The sequence below is a fragment of the Homo sapiens genome, chromosome 7 (genome assembly GCF_000001405.40).
Source record: "Homo sapiens chromosome 7, GRCh38.p14 Primary Assembly".
Taxonomy (NCBI): Eukaryota; Metazoa; Chordata; class Mammalia; order Primates; family Hominidae; genus Homo; species Homo sapiens.
Window position 1 is genome coordinate 155,065,540 of NC_000007.14, and position 23,781 is coordinate 155,089,320.

At 42.7% G+C, this 23,781-nt stretch overlaps 1 protein-coding gene and 1 long non-coding RNA gene across 2 annotated transcripts, besides 3 other annotated features; one reads left to right on the plus strand and one right to left on the minus strand.

Annotated features, from left to right (window-relative positions):
* Nucleotides 1,528–6,018, minus strand: HTR5A-AS1 (HTR5A antisense RNA 1). Its single transcript, NR_038945.1, has 2 exons — nucleotides 5,495–6,018; nucleotides 1,528–3,706 (listed from the first exon to the last, which is right to left on the minus strand). It is a non-coding gene; the product is annotated as an HTR5A antisense RNA 1 (long non-coding RNA).
* Nucleotides 4,477–4,546: an enhancer, noted in NCBI's record as "active region_26890". NCBI's record gives its function as "activates an Ori minimal core promoter by ATAC-STARR-seq in GM12878 lymphoblastoid cells {active_cell/tissue: GM12878}" and the evidence as "EXISTENCE:reporter gene assay evidence [ECO:0000049][PMID:35858748]".
* Nucleotides 4,657–4,746: a silencer, noted in NCBI's record as "silent region_18843". NCBI's record gives its function as "represses an Ori minimal core promoter by ATAC-STARR-seq in GM12878 lymphoblastoid cells {active_cell/tissue: GM12878}" and the evidence as "EXISTENCE:reporter gene assay evidence [ECO:0000049][PMID:35858748]".
* HTR5A (5-hydroxytryptamine receptor 5A) lies at nucleotides 4,785–21,853 on the plus strand. The gene is made up of 2 exons (NM_024012.4): nucleotides 4,785–6,101; nucleotides 18,616–21,853. The coding sequence occupies exons 1-2, from the start codon at nucleotides 5,361–5,363 to the stop codon at nucleotides 18,946–18,948; spliced, it is 1,074 nt and encodes a 357-aa protein (NP_076917.1). The 5' UTR covers nucleotides 4,785–5,360; the 3' UTR covers nucleotides 18,949–21,853.
* Nucleotides 5,334–6,160: an enhancer, noted in NCBI's record as "H3K27ac-H3K4me1 hESC enhancer chr7:154862583-154863409 (GRCh37/hg19 assembly coordinates)". NCBI's record gives its function as "activates a minimal SCP1, AML or CMV promoter by ChIP-STARR-seq in naive H9 embryonic stem cells {active_cell/tissue: H9 hESC(naive)}" and the evidence as "EXISTENCE:reporter gene assay evidence [ECO:0000049][PMID:30033119]".

The window sequence follows — 23,781 nt, forward strand, 5'->3', positions numbered from 1 at the left end:
GCCATTGGTTCACAAGGATGCTAAATGCAATCCTGTATCAGAGGATGGAAACTTACAAAGGTCCTTGGACAGTGACCTGGCTGAGACCCTGCAGGCAGGAGAGGCAAATCCATCCCTGCTGATGAATAGCCGCTCTTCAAGGTGGCTGGTGATCCCCTTCCAGTGCTCTATGCTGCAGTGTATGCTTTCTGGAGGATGTTAAAAGTGATAAAAACATATCCACACTTTGTCCTTATTCCCTGTGGTTCATCTACAAGCCTCTTTCACAGACATCCTTCCTTCCAGTCATTCACCTTCCAGACCTTTAGCCACTGTTCATGAGTCTGTATCATCTTCTTTCAGGCTGCTCCCCTTTCCAAACAAAATGGAAGATCAAGTGCAGCACCTAGAGCTCTGCCCCTTGGAAGGGTCTCCCCTGACTGCTGTCTCCCAAGGCCACCCAGAGTAGACATGAGACAGCAGCAGTCTTCTTGCTGACTTGCACCAACACATCAGGCTGACCCACCTGTGAATTCCCCTTGGCCCTGCTGGTGCCGCATCAGCTGGACATGTGGCCAGGGCTTTGAGCTGAGGGGTAGGTGCTTGTACAGTGATGACAGACAGCAGGGTGGTCTGGGCCACCTCTTGTGGAGCTGGCTTGCACCCTCCAGCTCTGCTCTGCACCACTTCTGTTTTATGCTGTTTTGCTGCTGAGCCCACCCAATCTTGTAGGTGGGTCTGCAAAATTCCACATCTTGATGGTTATATTTTGTTCCAGTGTCACTTAATGTCTCATGCTCAGATGCTCTATTTCTGCCAGAGCCCTGGCTCACACAAACTGCTTTTCCAACAGTGTAATGTTTCCTGTTGTAGACGGAGTGACTTTCCTCCAGAACCCTCAGGGTCTATACTGTGACTCTTTTACTGGTGTTTATCATAAAATCCTCATGGAGTTTTTTCCCATTACAGGTACTCCTAGTAACATAAGCTTTGCAAATCATAAAGCCCAAGCAGTTGGGCTGCTTTCACTGCAGCCAGGACTTCTGCTAGAGCCATTTCCTGCTCTTAGCCCCAACCGAACCTGGCAGCCTTTCCACATCACCAGGATGTGAATCAGAGCAGCTGCCTCTGGCATTCAAAGTGCTGACCAAGTATTAGGTTTCCTTTCCAGCGGGGGAGGTACCAGATGCAATACGTATATTTTTATAATGAAAGGAATACCCTGTTACACTCCAGGCCACTGAAGCCCTAACATCATCAATGACGTTGTTGGGGTCCGATTCTTCAAAGACAAAATTATTTCTCACATCTTGGAGCACACGTATTTTACAGAGGACTCTAACAAACTTGAGACTTCTTTTCTTGCTTGTCTTGTCTTATTGACATCCCACATCAACACAGTGGAGCAGCGTGATGTTCTGATGACAGCAGTTTTCAAACACTGTGGTCTCAGGACCCCTTCATATTCTTTAAAATTGAGTACCCCAAAGAGCTTTTGTTTACATGGGTTATATATATTAATATTTACTGGAAAATAAACTAGAGACATTTTCAACATATTTGTGTATTTGTTTATTAAAAATAAAATAAACCCATTACATGTCTATATAAGTGATACCTCATTATGAAAAATAATTATTTTTCATAAAATATTTCTGAATAGCATTAACATTTTTGCAAATCTCTTCAAGACAGCTAGAACATCATATGTTTCTACATTCCATCTGTTGGGATATGTTATTTTAGTTTAAGATTGTGAAGAACATCCACTTTCATACAGATATACAGCAGACAATAGAGTACTTTAATACTATTTTCAGATAATTATGGATATTTTTTCTGTGATGCTATATTAAAACTCAATGAGTGGTAGCACCTTAAAGATTTGTTGTGATGTGGAATCTGAAATTGTATCATGCATGTTTATTATGCTGTTACATTAAAATTCGTTGGTCTTGGCCGGGTGTGGTGGCTTAGGCCTGTAATTCCAACAATTTGGGAGGCTGATGGGGATGGATCAATTGAGGTCAGGAGTTCGAGACCAGCCTGGACAACATGGTAAAATCCCCATCTCTACTACAAATACAAAAAACTTAGCTGGGAATCGCTTGAACCCGGAAGATGGAAGTTGCAGTGAGCCAAGATTGTGCCACTGCACTCCAGCCTGGATGACAGAGTGAGACTCTGTCTCAAAAAACAGAAGCAAAAACAAACCAAAAAATCAGCTCCTACTTGAATGAAATAGATTCATACCTTCCCATTATAGAAAAATCTAAAATAAGTATTTTTCTATAAGCCAGTGACATGACTTGATTACAAACCGTAAGTAACCTCAATAGACAACTGAGTCTGCACTCGAATGATTGCTAGATGGCTGCAAACTACCTTTTGGAAAGGTTTTAGTAGATGTCCCATGATTTGTTTATATGTCTATAATTCCCTCTTCTCCAGTATAGCACCTCGTTCAGTTATGTGGTTGTATCTTTTGCTAGTATCTTTTGTCGGATGGTATATTAGCTTGCTAGGGCTGCCATAACAAAATACCACAGACTGAGTGGCTCATACTAGAAATTTATTTTTTCCTAGTTCTGGCAGCTGGAAATCCAATCTTGATATCTTCTAATCTTCCAATACTGGTATCTTCTAATGTCTCTCTCCTTGGCTTGTAGATGGCCACCTTCTTGCTTTATTCTCACGTGGTCTATCCTATGCACACACACATCCTTGGTGTCTCTTTGCATGTCTAAATTTCCTCTTTTCATAAGGATGTCAGTCAGATTGAATGAGGCCCTATCCTATGGCCTCATTTTAACTTAATCATCCCTTTAAAGATCTTATTTCTAAATATAGTCACACTATGAGGTTCTAGGGGTTAGGACTTCCATATATAAATCTGGCAGGGGGTAAGGGAGGGGGGAAGGAGAGACACAGTTTAACCCATAAGAGGTGACAACCCAGGAAGGTATATTTCCCAATACTGCCATTTCAGAGGTACCATATGGCAGACGGGAGTTTTATACCTTTTCAGATTCTTTTCCTTTTCAGTGTTTTTCAAGATAAAATTGGGGCTATGCTTTAAGATGAAGCTGAAATATTATGATTTTTTATTTGTGTATTTTTAAGAGATAAGCCAGACTTTCTGAACAGGGTTTGTCCCTTCTGGAAATGCTCCATTGGATCTCTCCTTTGTGGGAATATTCTATTCAGTCCCTAAATTTATGACACTCTATTTTTCACAAATTATCCTCAGTCATCCTTGGCTTTGTCCTTATTAACTATTCTGCTGCTCACTTAGCTATCAATACAGACAGCTGTGGCCTGGGGAATCAGTAGGGAATATAATCACAAGCCCATAATGCCTTTCAAGATTCATAGAGATCCATTGAGGCCCGCCTGTGGGCAACACAGTTCATCCATTCCTCCAGATAACAGGCCCTGAGACTAGATGCAGAACTTTTTCCAAAGAAGAGGATTCATAGTTTACATCTCATTCCCATTAGTTCCATGACCTCAAGAAGGTGATTTGCCTTAAAGAAGCACAAGCTTGCTTCCAGATTGGGGCCATGCACAGTTGCTCTGCATGCAGGCAGTCACCATCAGCTGTTTTTAAGTGGTGTTTGAAACAGCCCTGTGAATAATCCGGTATTTAATGATGTTGTCCCGTCCTCTAGGTTCCAGTGGAGGACTTTCTCTTTTCTCAGTGCATTCTCCTGATACTTGTTTTACTCTGCAAGAAACAAAATCTTATATGAAAACATGTTGCTAATCTTTAAATAGTTAAAACTTTCTGACTAAATTTACTTGTAAATGCACAGGATTTCACGACACTCATTTTATATACTTAAAAACAAAGCTTATTAACACCTTACTTTTTTCCTGCCATTTCTGTCCATCATTTTTAAAATTTCAACTTCTTTTATATTGCTATATCATGTGCCTCTTTATGAGGTGCTTTCAATCATAATTTCTGGTTAGAAGCTTCTGATATTTTCTCAGTTTCTGTGGATGTGTTTGTGGTTGTTTTGTGTGCATGTGTGAGGGGAGAGTTAAATTACCTCTTTCTTTTGAGTGAGATGGAGCTCTTATAATAACTTGTATCCCAATTTTTCCTTCTCAGGAAGCAAATTTAGTAGGGACCACTGGAGACTACCCATCTGCCTTATGACTCTGAGGAGATAAAGCATTCTTCAGCCATTCCTGTTGGAGCCAGGTGAAGCATTCTAGCTCCAACACCTCAACCATCTCTAGGAACAGCAGCAACTGCTATCTCGCCTCTCCTCCTTTAAGGAAAACAACCCTTAAGGGAAGCAACTGAGAGCTGGGTAAGAAGAAAGCAATCACGTGCTAAAATCTTCCGGAGAACAAAAGTTAGTGAAACTATCTTAGACCCCTAATTCAGAACTCTTGCAGGAAGAGTAAATACTTATGGAAAGCTGAGAAAGCAGTGTCTAGGGCCTCCAGTCCACCCCTAGAGGGACGTGTGGGGGTGGCTAGGGGAACGTTTTGAGGAAAGTTCATTGGTCAACTTGTTCAACGTGGCAAACTCATTTCAGGCAAGAGAGGCAGCACCGTGGACAGCGCCAACCCTCCTGCTCCCGGGCGGGGCGAGGTGGCAGCACCGCGGACAGCACCACATGTGGTGGCGCACACTGGGAGCCGCCAGGCGCGGGGAGCGCAGCAGCACCGCGGACAGCCCCAAAGCCGCGCGCTCTGAGCCAGGAGGCGGGGAGAGATGGCCTTATCAGCTGATGGCTTACGTAGGGCTAGATCTCCACTTGGATAAGGCAGGTCTCGGTGGGCGCGCCAGCATTCGCTCTCCGGAGCTGCAGCCTCCGAAGGGGTGGCGGGGGCAACAGGGACAGAAGGCAGGTCCCAGAAAGCAGGTTCCCCCAAAACTGGCTTCCCTAGCACGGAGTTAAGGCTGCAGCCGGCTGCCTAGAGAGAAGGGTGGGCAGGGAGACAACGCGGTGAGAGCGACTGCTCTGACGCACCAGCCCCTCTCCTGCACCCACACGCTGCTGGCCGCCCAGCTTCTCCCCGATCTGGGAGATGCTCGGCTCTGGGCGGCCAAACAGCCTTTCCACCAAGGCGAGGAGCCCTGGGCTCCTGACAGCTTAGGCGGGCCCTGGCTGCGACACGCAGCCCCTCGCCTCTGCTTCCTTAGCCTCTGAGGGCTTCAGACCTGCCGCGCTTGCAGCCACACCATCTCCAACGGATGCTCACTAGCAGGAAATTGGGGCCAAATTCACAGGCACTTTCCAGAAACTCCCCCACTGGCCAGAGGTTGCAAACATCCGGATTGGCTCTGGGCACAGTGGCCGCCTTAAGTCCTCCTGAACACCCCTTCTGCAAGTACCCCAGGGCGGTCTCCTGACCCAGAGATGGATTTACCTGTGAACCTAACCTCCTTTTCCCTCTCCACCCCCTCCCCTTTGGAGACCAACCACAGCCTCGGCAAAGACGACCTGCGCCCCAGCTCGCCCCTGCTCTCGGTCTTCGGAGTGCTTATTCTCACCTTGCTGGGCTTTCTGGTGGCGGCGACGTTCGCCTGGAACCTGCTGGTGCTGGCGACCATCCTCCGTGTACGCACCTTCCACCGCGTGCCCCACAACCTGGTGGCATCCATGGCCGTCTCGGATGTCCTGGTGGCCGCGCTGGTCATGCCGCTGAGCCTGGTGCACGAGCTGTCCGGGCGCCGCTGGCAGCTAGGTCGGAGGCTGTGCCAGCTTTGGATCGCGTGCGACGTGCTTTGCTGCACGGCCAGCATCTGGAACGTGACGGCCATAGCCCTGGACCGCTACTGGTCCATCACGCGCCACATGGAATACACGCTCCGCACCCGCAAGTGCGTCTCCAACGTCATGATCGCGCTCACCTGGGCACTCTCCGCTGTCATCTCTCTGGCCCCGCTGCTTTTTGGCTGGGGAGAGACGTACTCTGAGGGCAGCGAGGAGTGCCAGGTAAGCCGCGAGCCTTCCTACGCCGTGTTCTCCACCGTAGGCGCCTTCTACCTGCCGCTCTGTGTGGTGCTCTTCGTGTACTGGAAGATCTACAAGGCTGCCAAGTTCCGCGTGGGCTCCAGGAAGACCAATAGCGTCTCACCCATATCCGAAGCTGTGGAGGTGGGTATCTCAGCAATCCTTAAAAATACTCGACTTGCATCTGTACAGGCTATATCCCCAGGCCACCTGCCCCACCCCCACACTTGTAGAAAATGGAACTTTTTGTGTTTGGGAGTGGGGGGAGTAAACTGGGAGAGTGGAAGAAAGCATCAGAGATGTACTTTGCTCTGACATGTTCCCTCTCACAGGGCTAATCATATCATGTTCCTTCTCTAATGGGTTGTTTGTTAAATATACAGAACACGAGGAGTTCAGACTGCGTCATTCTGCAGGGTCCCCTTTGGCCCCCAAATTCTATGGATCTATAACACCCTTTAGAACATCTGAATAAGCTGGTATCTGGGGTACGCTGATTCAGTACACTGGAAAAAACTAGCAGCTTCCAGCACTTAGAATGGGGGTGTTCCAGGAGGAGGGGAGGCAGGGATGGGAGCATGATTTGATAAGAAGACTGCCATGAGTCAGGTGATGCAGGTTAGCATTTCATCCTAGTCTATTCTTTTTCTTTGCAAATTACAGCAGCCGGTTTATTAAAAATATGGTATCACCTAGGTTACTGTCATTCTGTGGCATCCTCCCGTCCTGACGTAAGACTGAAGATGTTGACTGCACTAGTCCCGGAGCCTGCATTTGTTATCTGCTTCCACTGCCTTAGGGTGTTACTTTATGGGTCTATCCCCCACAGCCCTATTAGGTTGTAGGTGTGACTGAGGACCACTTGTCTGCCTTCCTGAACATGAGTAAAGCTGCGGAAGGAAATTAAAAATCCAGGAAAGAGAATTCCCTAGCTCTCTATGAGAGGTATTTACTGCATGACAACCACTATAGCAACAGCGAGGGAGCTTTTCTCATCTTCTCCCACTCCTGTTTTTTTGTTAACTCTTAATAATCTGACCCTACGACTCATGATTCTGCAGGCTGCTCCCCCTTCATTACCAAGGAAGATTCCTTGAATCTAATTCACACATTTAGGTTAGACCAGAAGTCTACACAGTCCCCATTTTCTGTTGTTGGCTCTGAAACAAGAAAGTAGTTTAAGGAAGCATATGGAGTGCATACTATGGGTTTGGTGCAAGAGGTAAGCGAATGATAGAGATGTTGTCTTTGCCCATGAAGAGTGTGGTCTAGGGAGGGAAATAGACATCCACCCTGAGCTCTGTATATGCTTTCTAGAGTCAGTAGCTAACTCTAACCATCCCCAGTCAGTCAAACTTAGAGGGACCAGAGGTGTAGCTAGGGAAAAAGGGGAGAGGGCATCATCCTAGAGGAAAGAAGAAAACGAGGGGTCAGAGGCTACCTGTTCTTTTACCTATATCAGCATTTCTCAGCGAAGGGTAATACTGCCCTCCAGGAAACATTTGGGCTGTCTGGAGACATTTTGGATGATTAAGAATTGAGGGCCAGGTGCGGTGGCTCACGCCTGTAATCCCAGCACTTTGGGAGGCCGAGGCGGGCAGATCACAAGGTCAGGAGATCGAGACCATTCTGGCTAACATGGTGAAACCCCGTCTCTACTAAATATACAAAAAAATTAGCCAGGCGTGGTGGCAGGCGCCTGTAGTCCCAGCTACTCGGGAGGCTGAGGCAGGAGAACGGAGTGAACCCGGGAGGCGGAGCTGGCAGCTAGCCGAGATTGCGCCACTGCACTCCAGCCTGGGCGACAGAGTGAGACTCTGTCTCAAGAAAAAAAAAAAAAAGAATTGAGGATGGGGTGTTAATGGCATGTAGTATAGAGAGGTCAGAAATGCTGCTAAATATTGCACAATGCACAGGACAGCCCCTCAACAGAGAATTGTTCAGACCAAAATGTCAATCGTACTGAATTTGGGTAACTCTGATCTATTAGATTTCTAAGCTGAACAAAGAGTGCTGATGGGTAAGAACACTGAAGCTTCCATCAAACTACCTGAAGTGAGGTTCCATGTGTATGAGGGTCCACTCAAATTCCAGACCAGGAACAAGAAGACTGGTCACCTCCAAGGGCCCTCCTTTTATGAATCTTCCTCTCCCCTGATGTTTATTCAGGCAAATATAATTTACAGTCAGCCCTAAACACAGCTTTAGAAGGAGAAAGTTAATTACAATTCCATCCCAAGGCTTCCTGTAAAAGGATGAAGGGCACTCTCATTTCTCTGCTTTGGTGATAGCAGAAGCAAAGCATTATAACATCTTTGTGCTTTTTATATAGATACACACACACATATATATACATATGTGTGTGTGTGTATATATATATGTATATATATATGTATATATATATATATATATATATATATGTATATATATATACTCTCTTCTCTCTCTACTTTTCCCAGATCAGTTTTTTAAATGGGCCCCTTGGCTTAGCAAAAGGACCCAAAATAATCCAGTACTCTAAATATAATATGGGGCTGCCTCTGTCCTTATGTTATGTTGAAGGGTTAATTACAAACCAGGCCTCCTGATTGTTCTGTGATAATGGGAGTGGGTGTCAAAGTTTCTAAATGAGTTCTACCACTAGCTAGCTGTTCCCTGGGGAAACCACAACACTTCTCTCTTGTTTCTTTATCTGCTGAGTTTTATTCAAATACATGCCATGAAATCCTAACCTAGGTCAGACATTGAGCTGGGATCTGGCAACACAAGATAGATAAGACTTGCCCTTGTCAAAGGAAGAGGAAGCCACTGCTAGAGATCTGAAATAAAATGACAAAGAAAAATGCCTTCCTTACTAGAGTGAGCGGGGGCTGTGCTGTCTAGGCACAGTTTGCCTAAGAAGAGCAGAATGCTGACCTGAAACTGCGCTTTTGGGAGGTATGGAGCCTCACGGATTGGTGGATTTTTGAGATGTGGGTAGATGACACCCTCTGTATGAGAAGCTATTGCTGATTGGTTGTTCCTCCAATGCGTATTTACTGAAATGAGTCCATCTCTGGTGGCCTGACTTTCAGAACTGAGGGGCTAACACCAATAATCTACACAGGTACTATAGACATCCAGGAGGTAGAGACAGTGTGAACTATTTTACCTTCTATTATTCTAACCCTAATTGCCCTCCCATCCTTATTCATTCTATATATAATTAACAAAATTAATAATCCTCTGACTCTCAAAATTATAGGCTACCAATGATACTGAAGCTATTCATATATTTGATTCCTGTATGATCCTTGCAGCGACCTACACCTAGAAGAGAAACCTATGCAAAAAGACTCTATACATGTAGACAAACAACAGCAAAAGCAAAGCAAGCATCAGTAGGATACGTAGATGAATAGCATGACACCATTTGCCAAACAGTACACCTTCATGTCAAGAGGTTTGAAGCCTTTTACACAGATCTAAGACAATTCCCTAATGGTAGGTCTCTTAATCAAAGATCTAGTTACTTGACACAAACACCTCAGCCTTGTGACCTTATATGAGAACATACTTGGTTACAAATCCTAAGAGAAGAAAATTTTAAAATATATTGATTGAGATGAGTTGCCCTTGATCAGTAGACTAAGTCTAAAACTTGTTCCGGGCTAAAGAGCACTCAGTCTTTTCCTAAGTGCGTGGGAACATTTTCTTCTCAGTCTGTCTGTGTTGGTCCTCATTCAGCCAAAGCTGCAGGAGAGATCTCCGTGATTATCCAGATTGTCACCACTGTTTTTGGTCCTCTTAATGATGAAGTTTCATCTGTGGAGATGTGATGTTCACATTGCACGTTGATCAACATGAGTTTATGCTATTTTTTAGATCATCTGTTGAATCATCTGTCAGGACAGAGCTCTGCAGAAGCATGTAAAGTTCCGAACAACAGATGCTGAAGGACTACCAGATAAACAAGAATAATTATAAATATTGTAAGAAGAGACTGGAAAATCTCCCAAGTTCTTCTTCTTAGTTCCAGTGCCTTCTTAGTCAATTCTTTGTTGAGGAGCTGTCCTTGACCCAAGACTTCCCAGCTTTGATCAGGAAAGCAAGTCCCAAAAGTTTCTTGTGTATCTGTTAGGTAGCTATGTTCCTTTTTCTTCTAGCTTAAATATAGATTGTTTTGCCTCTGTCTTAATCCAGGTACAACAAGAAATGGTAGCTATAGGGTAAACTCTTCCATGACTGGCCACAAGGAAACTGAAGGCTATTCTATTCATCATGACTATTTGGGTTAATTGTTGTGGCCTGGGAGCTTAGGCTATATAATATTTTATGTCAGCTAATGCAGGCATTATTTACTATGACAACTTTAAAAAAAAACCCTCTAGTTATCCAACTGTTTAAATGGGGTCATTATCTTCAGGAGCCTTCTCTGAGAGAGTTTTGTCCCTTTGGACTCTTCATAAGGAGGTATAGTCCATTGAGGGCATTGGCGAGCCAGATTTTGGAATGGCCTAACCTATGGCCCTATGGAGCAATTAACTTTTCTTCTCAGTTGACATTGAGACACTTAACGTCAGCATAGGATAAAGGACCCAGGAACTATAGAAGAGAGGTGATCAATCTTAGTGAAGCTGTAGGTACGTTATCTGTAAGTATTGCCAAGATGGTCACTAATTCACATGGTCATCTGTTTGTCCCGAGGTTCTTGGTTTAATGGCAATGTCCACACTTCTCTTTCTGGAGGTTCCCTGGAGGACCTCAGTTTAGAATGGTTTGGGGTAGCATCAAGTCATCAAATAATTCACATTTGTTGTCCATTTTTAGAGTACCTGAAGGAGATGTTTCTATAGTATGTTAAATTAGTGAATTATTCTGGAGGTATACTAATTATTAGTCTACATACATTCTGTTTCATTTTTTTAACTTAATATGGACCTACTGGAAAGGTCCATAATTTAAGCATTGAACAACTTGGCTTTGGGTAAGAAATTAAATTTTATGGGAGAGACTGGACTACTTATTATATATCAAACATGGTATTGTTATTTTTGTTTTTTAGCATACCATCAACAAACAATATTTCATTGGAATTTGGTACTAGAGGATCCAAGTTCTGTCTGGAGCCAGGACACTTTAATTATAGAAATGCAGTTATGGGATTCCCCTTCCTTGTCTAAGGGTTTCCTAGCTGCGGGGTGATGCATGTTACACCAGGAGAAGGAGAAAGTAACCATGAACCATTATCAATCAATGAGTAGAAAAATATTGGATAGTTTCTGTTAGCAATTGGGGCTTATTACATGTGGTATATAAGATTTAAAGGCCTAATACCAAATGTTCTGAAGATGTGTTGACTAGTTGAATTGATGCCTGTAATTTCTCTGAGACAAGAAGGCAAAGCCTCCAGGTTACTGAACTAAGCGGTGAACTTAAAATAAGCAATGTTCTTTGACAGGTGCTATGCTGTCACCTTAATCCACCCAGAGCATGGCCCCATATTTTCATATTCGCATGAAAAGGAATGTTCATGATAACCTAGGAAGAATCATTCTTAACTCTTATGCATTCTACTTCAATTAAATTTTCTAGTTGTGGAGTCTCTTGTCCATAGAGATTCTAGAACCATCAGTATTTCTATAGTAATTTTTAAAATTACATGCAGTGTAGGCATTCTCACGTCAGATCAGGTATAATCTCATCATGAACAAGGGCTGCAGCACATTTTATTTGGAAGCAGATCCTACTTATTGCAGGTATGTCATAGATTAAAGAAGTATTCTTTTGATAATGATCTGAAAATATCAGTTATAAGTTGGCACACAGAATTGTTAAAGATTGTTACTACTTGAATTCTTCCATTAAGTAAAGTTGATTTTCTCTCAAGCCTTTGAAAAATTTACTATATAGCCAGAAATTTGTCAATTTGTCATTCATTATCTTGTTTCACTATCTGGTATAACCTATAACCAATAGGTTTTTTTTTTGTTTTTTTTTTTTTTTGAGACAGAGTCTCACACTGTTGTCTAGGCCAGAGTGCAGTGGCATAATCTCAGCTCACTGCAATCTCCACCTCCCAGGTTCAAATCATTCTCCTGCCTCAGCCTCCCAAGTAGCTGGGATTATAGGTGTGTGCCACCATGCCTGGCTAATTTTTGTATTTTTAGTACAGACAGGGGTTTCACCATGTTGGCCAGGCTGGTCCCGAACTCCTGACCTCAGGTGATCTGCCCACCTCAGCCTCCCAAAGTGCTGAGATTACAGGTGTGAGCCACTGTGCCCAGCCACCAATAGCTTTATTGAATTTTTTGTTTGTTTTTAATTTTTAAAAACTTGCTACAATTTTCTTTTTTGCTTTTCAGACAACTTTAAAAATGTACATGGAATGATCTGTTGTTCTGTAATAGTGGGGTTACTGGTAGTTATATTGACACCCACATAAACAAAAACATTATATAGTTGTATATCTAGTTACAGAAAATTCTCCTTGGAAGTTTAAAAAGACAAAGAAATTGTTGAGTGACAATAACTTCCTTGGAGTGGCTTTATTAGATAGATTGTATATAGTTGTCATTTTGCTTTTTGGCCAACACGAGATGTTCATTCTTTCAAGGGTCCTCCTGCTAGCAATATATTAATATATACAGGGATCCTTATCTCAGCTCTCAAATCTTTGAGAACAGAGGCCCTTTTGGATGCCTTATCTAGAAAGCCATATCTTGTATTGATTTATAGCATTTACTTTCTAAGCCTATCTGGAAATGTCTAGCCCCATATTGGATATTTTGCAAATTGGCAATTTCACATTTCAGTTTATTTTTTCTTATTAAATTCCCAAATTCAGGTTTAAGCCCATTTATAGAAAGATATGACAAGACTATACTTCAGCTGTTGGGTATACACAAATATGCTGCTTGAAGGTTTTCTGAAGTCTATTTTCTATCTTTATTCAGCCTCCCGAGTAGCTGGGACTGCAAGTGTGTTCCATCACACCTGGCTAATTTTTGTATTTTTTATAGAAATAGGGTCTCACCATGTTGCCCATGATGGTCTCAAACTCCCAAGCTCAAGTAATCCTCCTGCCTTGGCCTCCCAAAGTGCTGGGATTACAGGCGTGAGCCACCATGCCCAGATTCATTTAGTTTACTTTGAATCTTTATTCAACCTCTCCTTAAAAGAAAGCCTTCTAAAATTACTTTACATAATATATTTTCTATTTTTATATTTAAATTTTCACAACTGGGTTATATAACTCTTCTATTTTCTGTGCTTCTTTTTTTTTTTACCATTTTTTCTTATCTAAGAGGATTTTAGTTAATTTAACTAATTAGTACACATCTATAGTTCAAGAAAATAAAAATTTTGTTTGATATTCTAACAAAATTATAAATTCTATAACAAAAGTTTAGAAAATTTTTCTTTCTTTTTCTTCCTTTCCTTTCTTTTCCTTCCTTTCCTTTCTTTTCCTTCCTTCTTTTCTTTTCTTTCTTTTTTTGAGGCAGGGTCTTGCTCTGTTGCCCAGGCTAGAGTGCAGTGGCACAACCGTAGCTCACTGCAGCCTTGAAACCCTGGGCTCATGCAGTCCTCACACCTCAGCCTCTGAGTAGCTGGGACCACAGGGATATGCCACCACACCTGGCTAATTTTTAAAATTTTTGTGGAGATGGGGTCTCTCTATTGCACAGGCTGGTCTCAAACTCTTGACCTCAAATGATTTTCCCACCTTGGCCTCTCAAAGGGCTGGGATTACAGGCATGAGCCCCCATGCCTGGCCTAGAAAATTTCTTAATTATAGCTCTTAGCTTTAGACAAAGGTTTTAATTAAATTCTATAAATCTGATTTTTCTTCTGGTAATTTTATAATGTGATTGTGTTTTTCCTGAGAAAACCCTGGTTCATTTAGGAAGTCAGATAAAGCTGAATAGAAAAATACAAGATAGAGATCTGCAAAGAGGATAGGTTTGGGAAGGTTACAAAATCTTTGAGACTATCTTAGTTAGGATTTTCTTTTAAGGACTCAAAATACCAATTAAAGAGGCTGACTTTTAGCCATTTGATGTTTGTCTCCTAATTTTTCTAGAGCTTCTCTTAAATATCTTAACTCACTAATTTTTCATTCATCAGATGTTTTTCATTAAGTAAAAAAAGTTTGGCATTTGTGAAGAAAATTGCAAGACTTAGGATCATAATGCAATTTTAAATAGGAAATAGAAATTCTTAAAAAAGAGGATTGAGATTTGGACATAAACAAGCCGTGGCACATGAGGAAGAGGCAACTGTGGTTGGTCAACAGTTCATGCTTGTGAATAGTGTCTCAGGGTCCTGGACCAAACAGATGGAGAAGGGGACACATGATTGTCCGCACAACTATCATTAAGCTGGAAAACAACAGGACAAAGTGATATATTTTCACAAGTCGACAAGTCAGGAATGCCCTCATACGAGCTTTGTAGGGGACCCCAAGCAAAGTTTGATCAATTGCTTTTTCATAAATTGGTCACTGGCCTAATAATGGTCTTCAAATCATTAGCCCTCAGGTCCAGCTTGAATTAGATTGGAAACTTATCAAGCCAATGCCTTATAGAATAGTTCCTTCTGTATTCAACAGAAGAAGGAGTTCCAGGACAAAACAAAAACCCATGCAACAAGACTTTGCACATGTAGACAACACACAAGCAAGGCAAGAGGCCATAGGATAAGTAGATTAATGGCATGACAATATTTGCCAGATGATACACCTTCATGGCAAGAGGTTTAAAGCTTTCTACATAGATCTAAGACAATTACCTAATGGTAGATAGGTAGATCTCTCAATCAAAGATCTAGTTACATGATACAAACACCTCAGCCTTGCGAACTTATCCAAGGACATAGTTGGTCACAAATCCTAGGATAACAAAATACATTGAGCAATAAGAGCCCAGTGAAACTAGGCAGAACTCAAATCCTTGTTGAGACTGATGTGCTTGGCTGTGGACACAAAGGGCAATTGAGTTTGGGGCCCAGTGAATGCACTTGTGGCCCAAGGATCCCACGGAGAGTCTTCAAAATGACTTCAATGGAGCCTCCAGAACTGTCCAGGGGCGATGCCACTACTGCTCAGAGTCTGAGATAGAAAGACAAAGCTGAATCTTTGACTCAGAATAGCGAGAGGAAGCTATGCTTGTCAGCAGTCTCCCAGAGCAGAGCGGAATGCCCATCATCCATGATTCGGGGCAGTGTGGGGTTCAGAGACTGGAGGACACTCAGAGTAGCAGCAGGCTGACATCAGCTGCAGAACGGAGTTTACTCAGAATGAGGCTTTCTGTTGGATGGGGTTTTCTGATGGAATGGGGTTTTCTGTTGGATGGCGTTTTCTGTTGGAATGGGATTTTCTGCTGGAATGGGGTTTTCTGTTGGATGATTGGTGCTCAGAAGTGTGTTTATTGGGGTGAGTCTGACCTTAATTGGCTGACTTTCAGAAGTGAGGGCTGACACAGATTAGTTGGTTTACAAGTGTATATTCCCAAACTGCATCATCCTTGATTGACTGAAGAGGTTTAAACAAGAAAAACGTCTGCTTGTTATCAGTTATAGAACAATCAGTCTTGTCCTAAGTTTGTGGAGGGTTTTGATTCATACCCTCGTGGAGGCTTCCTTGATGTGTAAGGCCATTTTTAGCTTAAACATTTTTATTGTTCCATTGAGCTCCTGTGACCCATCTCTCATTCTGACAGTGATGTGGTCTAACTTGCAAATCACCTGAAACCACACTTCCAAGGTAAGAGTCTATACCTTAACTTCAATACCCATTATTGAAGGTAATCCATTGACTATCTAGGACATTATTAGACAGGCAAAGCAGAGTGGTTGGATGAAATAAAAGAACATACCAGATTTGTGATTAACCAGTAAATAATTATTTAGCATGCAATCATTTTGGAAGGATGAAAGCTCTAACACATATGTACCTGTCCCCAAAGAATTTGTTTATTGGGGGAGATGAGGCTAAGTGTTCATTTAGAAAAAAATTTATATATGAATCTTAAATTGTGAGCTATGTACTTTATGTGCATTTCAGAGATTATTAGGAAAAATTAATTTGGCTTAACTATTCACTTTTTAACCCTATTTCCTCTCTTTCTGTGAGTTTACTAATGATCAGGTTGAATGTAGTAATTAATAGAGCGTTATTGTCCAGATTCAATTAAGTGCTTTATTGCAATCATGGATTAGAAGAGAGCAAAGAGCTAAGGAGTACATAAGTCCAAGGGCCATAGAGTAAGAAAACAATTCCACCATTTGAGGGCATTAGAAACCTGAAACTCCACAAACAACCAAGACCCTCCTAGCAGCTGGAGACTCTATTGTCCCAGGGGTACCATTTTAAATCAGTGTCACTCTTTCTTCTGTCAAGTGAGTTGGCATTGAATGCAGCACCAAAGATGGCCCAGTAAAATAATCAACATTTCACAAGGTAATAGAAAAATATGCTTTTCTGAACAACGTGGAGTTCTATGACTAAACTCTAAAAAAATTCTAAGCCCTAAGTGTCATTGATATCACCAGTGTGATCATCACCACTGTGAACAGTATCTTCAGTGTGACCAGCATCTCCAGTATAATCAGCATCCGTGGTGTCTCCAGTGGGACCAGCATCCCCATTGTGAACAGCATCTCCAGCGTGACCAGCATCCACAGTGTGAACGACATCCACACTGTGAACAGCATCCATGGTGTCACCAGTGTGGCCAGCATCCACAGTGTGAATGGCATCCATGGGGTCACCAATGTGACCAGCATCCACAGTGTGAACAGCATCCATGGTGTTACCAGTGTTACCAGCATCCACAGTGTGAATGGCATCCATGGTGTCATCAGGGTGACCAGCATTCACAGTGTGAACAGAATCTTCAGCGTGACCAGCATCTCCAGTGTGACCAGCATCCCCAGTGTGAACAGCATCTCTAGTATGATCAGAATCCATGGTGTTTCCAGTATAACCAGCATCTCCAGTGTTACCAGCATCCTTTATGTGACCAGTGTGATAAGCCTCCACAGTGTGACCATGTCTCAAGTATGACCAGTGTTACCAGTGTCCCCATTGTCACTCATAAAAATGTGCCAAGGGGAAGGAGACTTTCCAGAGGGTTGAAGAGTCCAGCTAGAATTCTTGTTTTATTGCCGTCTTGGGACAATATGGAAAACAGCTTCCCTGATATTATTAGGGGGTTGAATTCTGTTAAGGAAACTGGTAGCTTTCCCTCTTTCCTTTATGCTGAAAAATTAAGCTAAATATGGTTTGGATTTCTATAAATGAATCCCCTCAAATGCATTTCCAGATATGCCTTGATAAATCAGTAACCAAAGGTAACTCTGGTTTCATCTAGAGGTACAGAAAGTGAGATTTTCAATGCTTATTTTATATGTGTTTTTAAAGTTTGGACTATTATGGACCATTGGTTTCATTATTTATTATCTTCTTTTAAATTTAATCTAGTGTACAGACTTGATGTTATACTGTTTTGCAAATAAATGTCAGCAAAGCTCTTCTACAAATTTGGTAATTTATTCATCAACTAACATTGCCTTAACCATAGTGTTCCTATTTTCACCTGTTATTCCATGTGATAGTAAGTCAGTTCCTTTCGAGTCCACTTTATAAATGCTGCCAAGAATTAGTTAAGTGGGTTAGATTAACCTGACAATTCTTTGCCTCAAAGATCGTATGCTCTTTGAGAACAAACTGAGTAAATATTTTTTAAATGTACTAGAGTCACAGTATGCTGGAGAGGGGAAGAATACTATTTAATGTTAATGCAGTCTCACTCACCAGAGAATGAATGACTCAGAAACTGTCGCACATTTTGATTGGATCAATTAATTTGCTAATTCAGTAAATTTATGATTGCTTCATATTTAGGCTGCCTCATCAGTAGACACTCATTATATCAGTTCTCCCAAGAGCTAAAAATAGGACCAGAAGGGAGGAAGAGCTTCCTTTCCCAGGAATTCCACTCCTTGAGAGAAGGAAGTGAACTGGAGAGCCTGATTCTGTGGGAACCTGCCCTGTGGAGGCCTTGGGGGCACCCCACAGGAGACTAAAAGACTAGGGTCTCAGTTTTACATAAATATAGGGGTAGAGGAAGACACAGAATAGACCCAGAGAGAGGTGTCCTTGTTACTGGACCGCCTCAAACAGTAGAATATGCTATGGGGCACAGCAGTAGGAGCTTTATGCCAGAGGAAAAGTTCTAACATTATAGAGGGGACTTACGTGAGCCCAGAAGGTTATAAAGATGGTAGAAAATGTGGTCCTAAGTGTACAGGATTTTGATAGGAACTTAGGACACTTTTGATGAAGTGTGCACCTCTGCCACTAAGTTGTGCATGCCATGTTGCCTGCTCGTTTCTGCCACTGCCTCTGTTGAACAGACAGCAATAGGGAGTCCATCTTCATGATGTCAATTTCATCACATCTGGTCCTTTCATTTCTAAGAGGTAAGCAAACACCTCAGCTCTGTTGCCTGGTTTCCATATCTGAGAGCGAGTGCCACAGGCCTTCAGGTTCCCACACCTATCCATCGAAGACTTTCCCTTGAGTGGATGTGCGGAATCCAGGCCTGTCAGTGTCCAGGCTCAGCCTAGCAGGTAGACTGAGGTGGCTCCTCATAAAGCTCCTGCTTGTCTTTTACAGGTGAAGGACTCTGCCAAACAGCCCCAGATGGTGTTCACGGTCCGCCACGCCACCGTCACCTTCCAGCCAGAAGGGGACACGTGGCGGGAGCAGAAGGAGCAGCGGGCCGCCCTCATGGTGGGCATCCTCATTGGCGTGTTCGTGCTCTGCTGGATCCCCTTCTTTCTCACCGAGCTCATCAGTCCCCTCTGCTCCTGTGACATCCCCGCCATCTGGAAAAGCATCTTCCTGTGGCTTGGCTACTCCAACTCCTTCTTTAACCCCCTGATCTATACGGCTTTCAACAAGAACTACAACAGCGCCTTCAAGAACTTCTTTTCTAGGCAACACTGAGGGAGAGGACCAGGATTGAAAAAAGTTTCTTCCCATAATTCAGTGGAATTCCCAGTTCATCCATTTCCCATCCCCACCCAACAGCCATGTGGACGGGATGAATCCTCACCATTCTCCAGGGTCATCTTCAGAACTGCACTGGCCTCTTTTCCACCTCCTCAGTAGGAATATGACTCCTCATAGAGTTACGGTGACATGATGTATCTAACTTATCTACTATCCCTTTCTCTGTGCTGACAGTCATGGTCTTTGCCCGCAAAGTGTCCTTTCCTCCCCAAATTCACTCTGGCATGGTGATCGACATTGTCTTAAAGAAGTCAAGGCAAATAAGAAGGAGGAGGTAAAACAATATGGGCAGGTTGAGATTGAATAGAAAAGAATGAACAAGTCATGATGTAGACCTCTGAGGGTAGGAGACCATAGTTCCAGGCTTTCTGGCACAGTCCCCATTTCAAATATTCTCTGTGGTCCTAGTACATATATCCTAATACTGATGGGGTATGACCCAAGAGTTGACCACAAAACACTGTCTCCAAATATATTAAAGTATATAGTCCTATCCATGAGAGCAGGGAATCTTAGCTTTAAGGTTTTGTTTGTGGCAACCACACACGAACATACACACACACACACACACAACTATGAAAGAGGCAGGTGTTCTAGCTAGCTAGTTTACTCCAAAATGCAATCCGTTGACATGAAACAGGCACTGAGGGTAACTACTTCCTTTCATTTTGAAGCAACAGTTTATAAACAGGAAAGTCTACTGGTTTCATAGAATCTGTCAGATTTGTTTATTTGCTACTGGTTTCACGCGCGTGGACTATATTCCAGTGTTTCTAGTCAAAGACCTTTATCCTCAAATCATGAGATTAGAGTAAAACAACTGCTGTAAGGTTGAGCATTTCATGACCAATGACTATGAAGGCACATTCACCAAACACAGGCACTTTAAGGGCATCCTTGATTAATTTGCTAATTGCTATTTTTTGTTGGTATGTGAATTCCTGCTAGGAGGCCGAGGCTAGTAGGCAATGAAAAAGACAGAACAATGGTAAAATGCAGCCCCAGTCCTCTACAAATTGACAGTATAATTTATGAGGTGAGGCAGTTAAGTGATGATGCAGCATTTGGATGATCATGTAAAACCAGTGTCATTACACAAAACTTAAAAAAAAATCCTAGGCAATAAAACTGCCTGTGGTCTGCTATGTCTCTGACTCTTCAAATGCATGAATTAAAGAATGATATAATAATCTCTGAATTATTGTAATTCATGTAGTATATTGTATATAATAAATTATATCAATTAAGAGTTCAAACATAGGAAATTTGTGATAATTTATATGTGGTCTTGGCTTGAAGTTTAGTCTTGTCTTTATTGCAAAGACTAGCTTTATCAAAAGAATGTGAGCAGATAAAGAAATGTTAGACACCTGTGAAGTCACAATTAATATGCTAAATGCAGATCTTTATGCATTCAAGCAGATTCATTGAGAAATTTAGTGATAAGAATTGAAGAATTTATTTAGAAACGTCCTTAGATTTTTCATCTGTATATATCACTTGAAGTGCTAAACCCACAAGTATTTAAAATACAGACTCTTCACTTACTCAAGTTACTTTTCCCCATTATTACTCGAAATCAGAGAGAATAACAAATGCTATTGTTTTCTAGTGTTTTGAATAAGGGAAGTGTTTGAATAAGGGAAGGGAAGTGTTTGAAAAACCTTATTAAGTACCCCATGGCAGAGAAGAAAAATTCAGACATGAGGAGTCTGGAGAGGTAACACTAGAATCAAGGGTAAACGCTTAAGTCTATTCTACCTGAAAATCCATGTGAAAACTTTTAATCCATAAATCGTGAGTGTCTTACTGTTTAAAAAAGTTCATACTCTTCAGTAAAGCGAAGCTTGAGGAAGATGTGCCACATTTTTCTGGTGGCTTCAAACACTCCCCAACTCTCCAAGGATTCTGTATACCCCAGTTGGAGAACGATGTTATTATAATATTAATTCAATCTCCAGCTGAGGGTTTTATTAATGTTTTCATAAGATGGATAAGCCTCATTATTCTTATCACTCAATATGTATTTAACACCTCTCAGGTGTCACTTAAATTATACATTATATACAACATACTCCACATACACTATCTAGAGCAAGAAACATTCCACATAAGAGAAGGAAGAAGTGGCAATTAATGAATTATTTTGCTTCCATTTCAATAGTAAAAGTTGTTTATACCCTGGTAAGAAATGTAGACATTCATTGACTTTGAGTCTCTACTATGCAAATCAAATATTTGTGAAACACTCTCATTTATGCTTGACTGCTAATATTTTATCAGGTTAGAAATTTATATGAATCATAAACAGAAGTAATTGCTCAAAATAACTAATTGTGTTCCCGTGCCAGATTGCAACAACCACCTTTATTAGATGGTGCACCTAGAGAAGGCTGGAGGGTTTCCTGCAAGCCCTCTCTGTAGGGTGACTGAGGTGAACCAATCCAAAGCCCTCCTTTCAGCTCTTGTAGAATATGTCGAACAAAACGCACAGTTCTGCCCTCCTGCCTAAAGACAAAGTACAAAGGAGATAATCCTCTCCTTATGAGTGATCTTAGCCCTCTTGAGGTCACTATCAGTTTTATATTTTCATTGTGCGGTAGTGAAAGACAAGTGGAAGATGTCCCTGAGTCTGTATTGACATCAGACCATATTGTAGGGATTAATTCTTGATAAAAAAAAAGCTTGTTATTTCTCTCTTCTTTTCATGAGGAGCATTTTTGCTTCCGTGTTTGTCTGTTGGATTTGCAGTTCCCTGCTCACAGCCAAAGAGGCTGTAGAGACAACACTTTGCCATATTTCTATTAAAGAGAAAATAAAGATTGAGTCCACAGCTCAAGTGCTGAGTGAAAGTGATTGCCAAGCAGGGATTTGGTTGGCATCCGGGAAAAGGGGAATGGGTGGCCTTCTCAAAGCCTCTGTCCTGTATCAGGAAAGAGATTCTCCTGCTCTGGGCTGCTCATGGGCTGGGCACTGATGGTTCACTGGGGCCGTCTGTGGTCTGTAGCTGTCTTTCCTGCCTTCATGAGGCACCCCTGTCAGGACATTGGTGCCCACCGTCCCCACTGTGCCGGGGGTGGGGGGGCCAGCTTCAGGAGGATGAAGGTCCAGCCTGGCCACTGTCAGCTGATTAAATGGCTCTGTCAGGACTGCCAGCCCCAGGTAGTTCTTTTCTAGCAGTCTCGGGTGCTGTGGTCCAGCTGCACCCAGCCTTCCATCTTCCTCTTTCTCCTCCTGAAAGGGATTTGCCTTTCCATCAGGTGTATCTTTCAAACTCATTATCCCTTCTGTCATGGCCTCCTTTGCGATAGCTTGGGTTGGCTGCTAGCTGTGTTCATTGAGATCTGGCTCAAGGCTCCGCAAGCAAGAGGAAGGAATCAAGGAAGATGCACCACAACGTGCAGCAAATTTAATCAGCTTCCCCACAACCAAGCAAATAATCGTCAATGTTTATTAAGCCCTGACCCCATACAGGGCACTGTGCCATGCCCTTCAAAGCCACCCCTATTTGGTCCTAACAATAACCCTTGGAGGCACTATGGAGATTTAACACAAAAGTCATTTGGGTCTTGTAAAAATTAAATTATTCATCCAAGATGAAATGGCTAGAAAATTAGAGCCAGGATCAGAACCCTAGGACCTGACTCCAAACTCCAGCTCTTGGTCTTCGTACTTTAACACAGAAACAGCCCCTAAAGGATAAGAAATGATTGGCAGGAGCCAGATGATGGCAGGGACTTAAAACAACCCCTTCCTCCCCTCTGGCATCTCCACCAAGTACAGCCCACATAGAGCTGCAAAAGCACCAGCTTTCGCAGGACACCTTTGGAACAGTGTCCTTTTCCTTTATGATATTTGGTGACTGGAGGTCAACCTCGTGTGGCACCAGTTCCCAGACCAAATCTGCCCCAGAGATCAGGAACAACCTAACCGTGATCTACACTGCACCAATCCCAGGTGACCTAACAAGCAATCCCCGGTGGATTAGCGATGGCAGATGGGAAGTAGGGGAGATGACGACTCTGCCCACTGGTGCAAATAAGGGGAGGGTCTGAGATTAATGTACAGTCGCAGGACGCATAACCATGAGGATGTGCTGAGAAATGCATCATTAGGCAATTTCGACATTATGCAAACGTCGCAGAGTGCACTTACACACATCTAGAGGGGACAGCCCGCTATACATGTGAGGCTGTTCGGTGTAGCCTCGTGGTCCTAGGCTGCACACCTGTGAAGGCTGTTACTGTACTGAATGCTGTAGGCAGCTGTAACACGATGGTAATGGGTTTGTGTATCTAAACATATCTAAATGTAGAAAAGGTACAGTAAAAAATGATTGAAAATGGTGCACCTGTACAGGGTACTTGCCATGAATGGAGCTTGCTGCAGTGGAAGTAGCTCCAGGTGAATCAGCGAGGGAGTGAGTGGAGAGTGAATGTGAGGACCTAGGACACCTAGGACATTCCTGTACACTACCGCAGACTTTGTAAACAATGTTCACTAAGGCTACACTCAACTTCTTCTTTCTTTTTTTTTTTTTGAGACAGAGTCTCGCTCTGTTGCCCAGGCTGGAGTGCAATGGCGTGACCTCGGCTCACTGCAACCTCCACCACCTCCCAGGTTCAAGCAATTCTCCCACCTCAGCCTGCCGAGTAGCTGAGACTACAGGCGCCCGCCACCATGTCCGGATTTTTTTTTGTATTTTTAGTAGACACAGGGTTTCACCGTGTTAGCCAGGATGGTCTCGATCTCCTGACCTTGTGATCC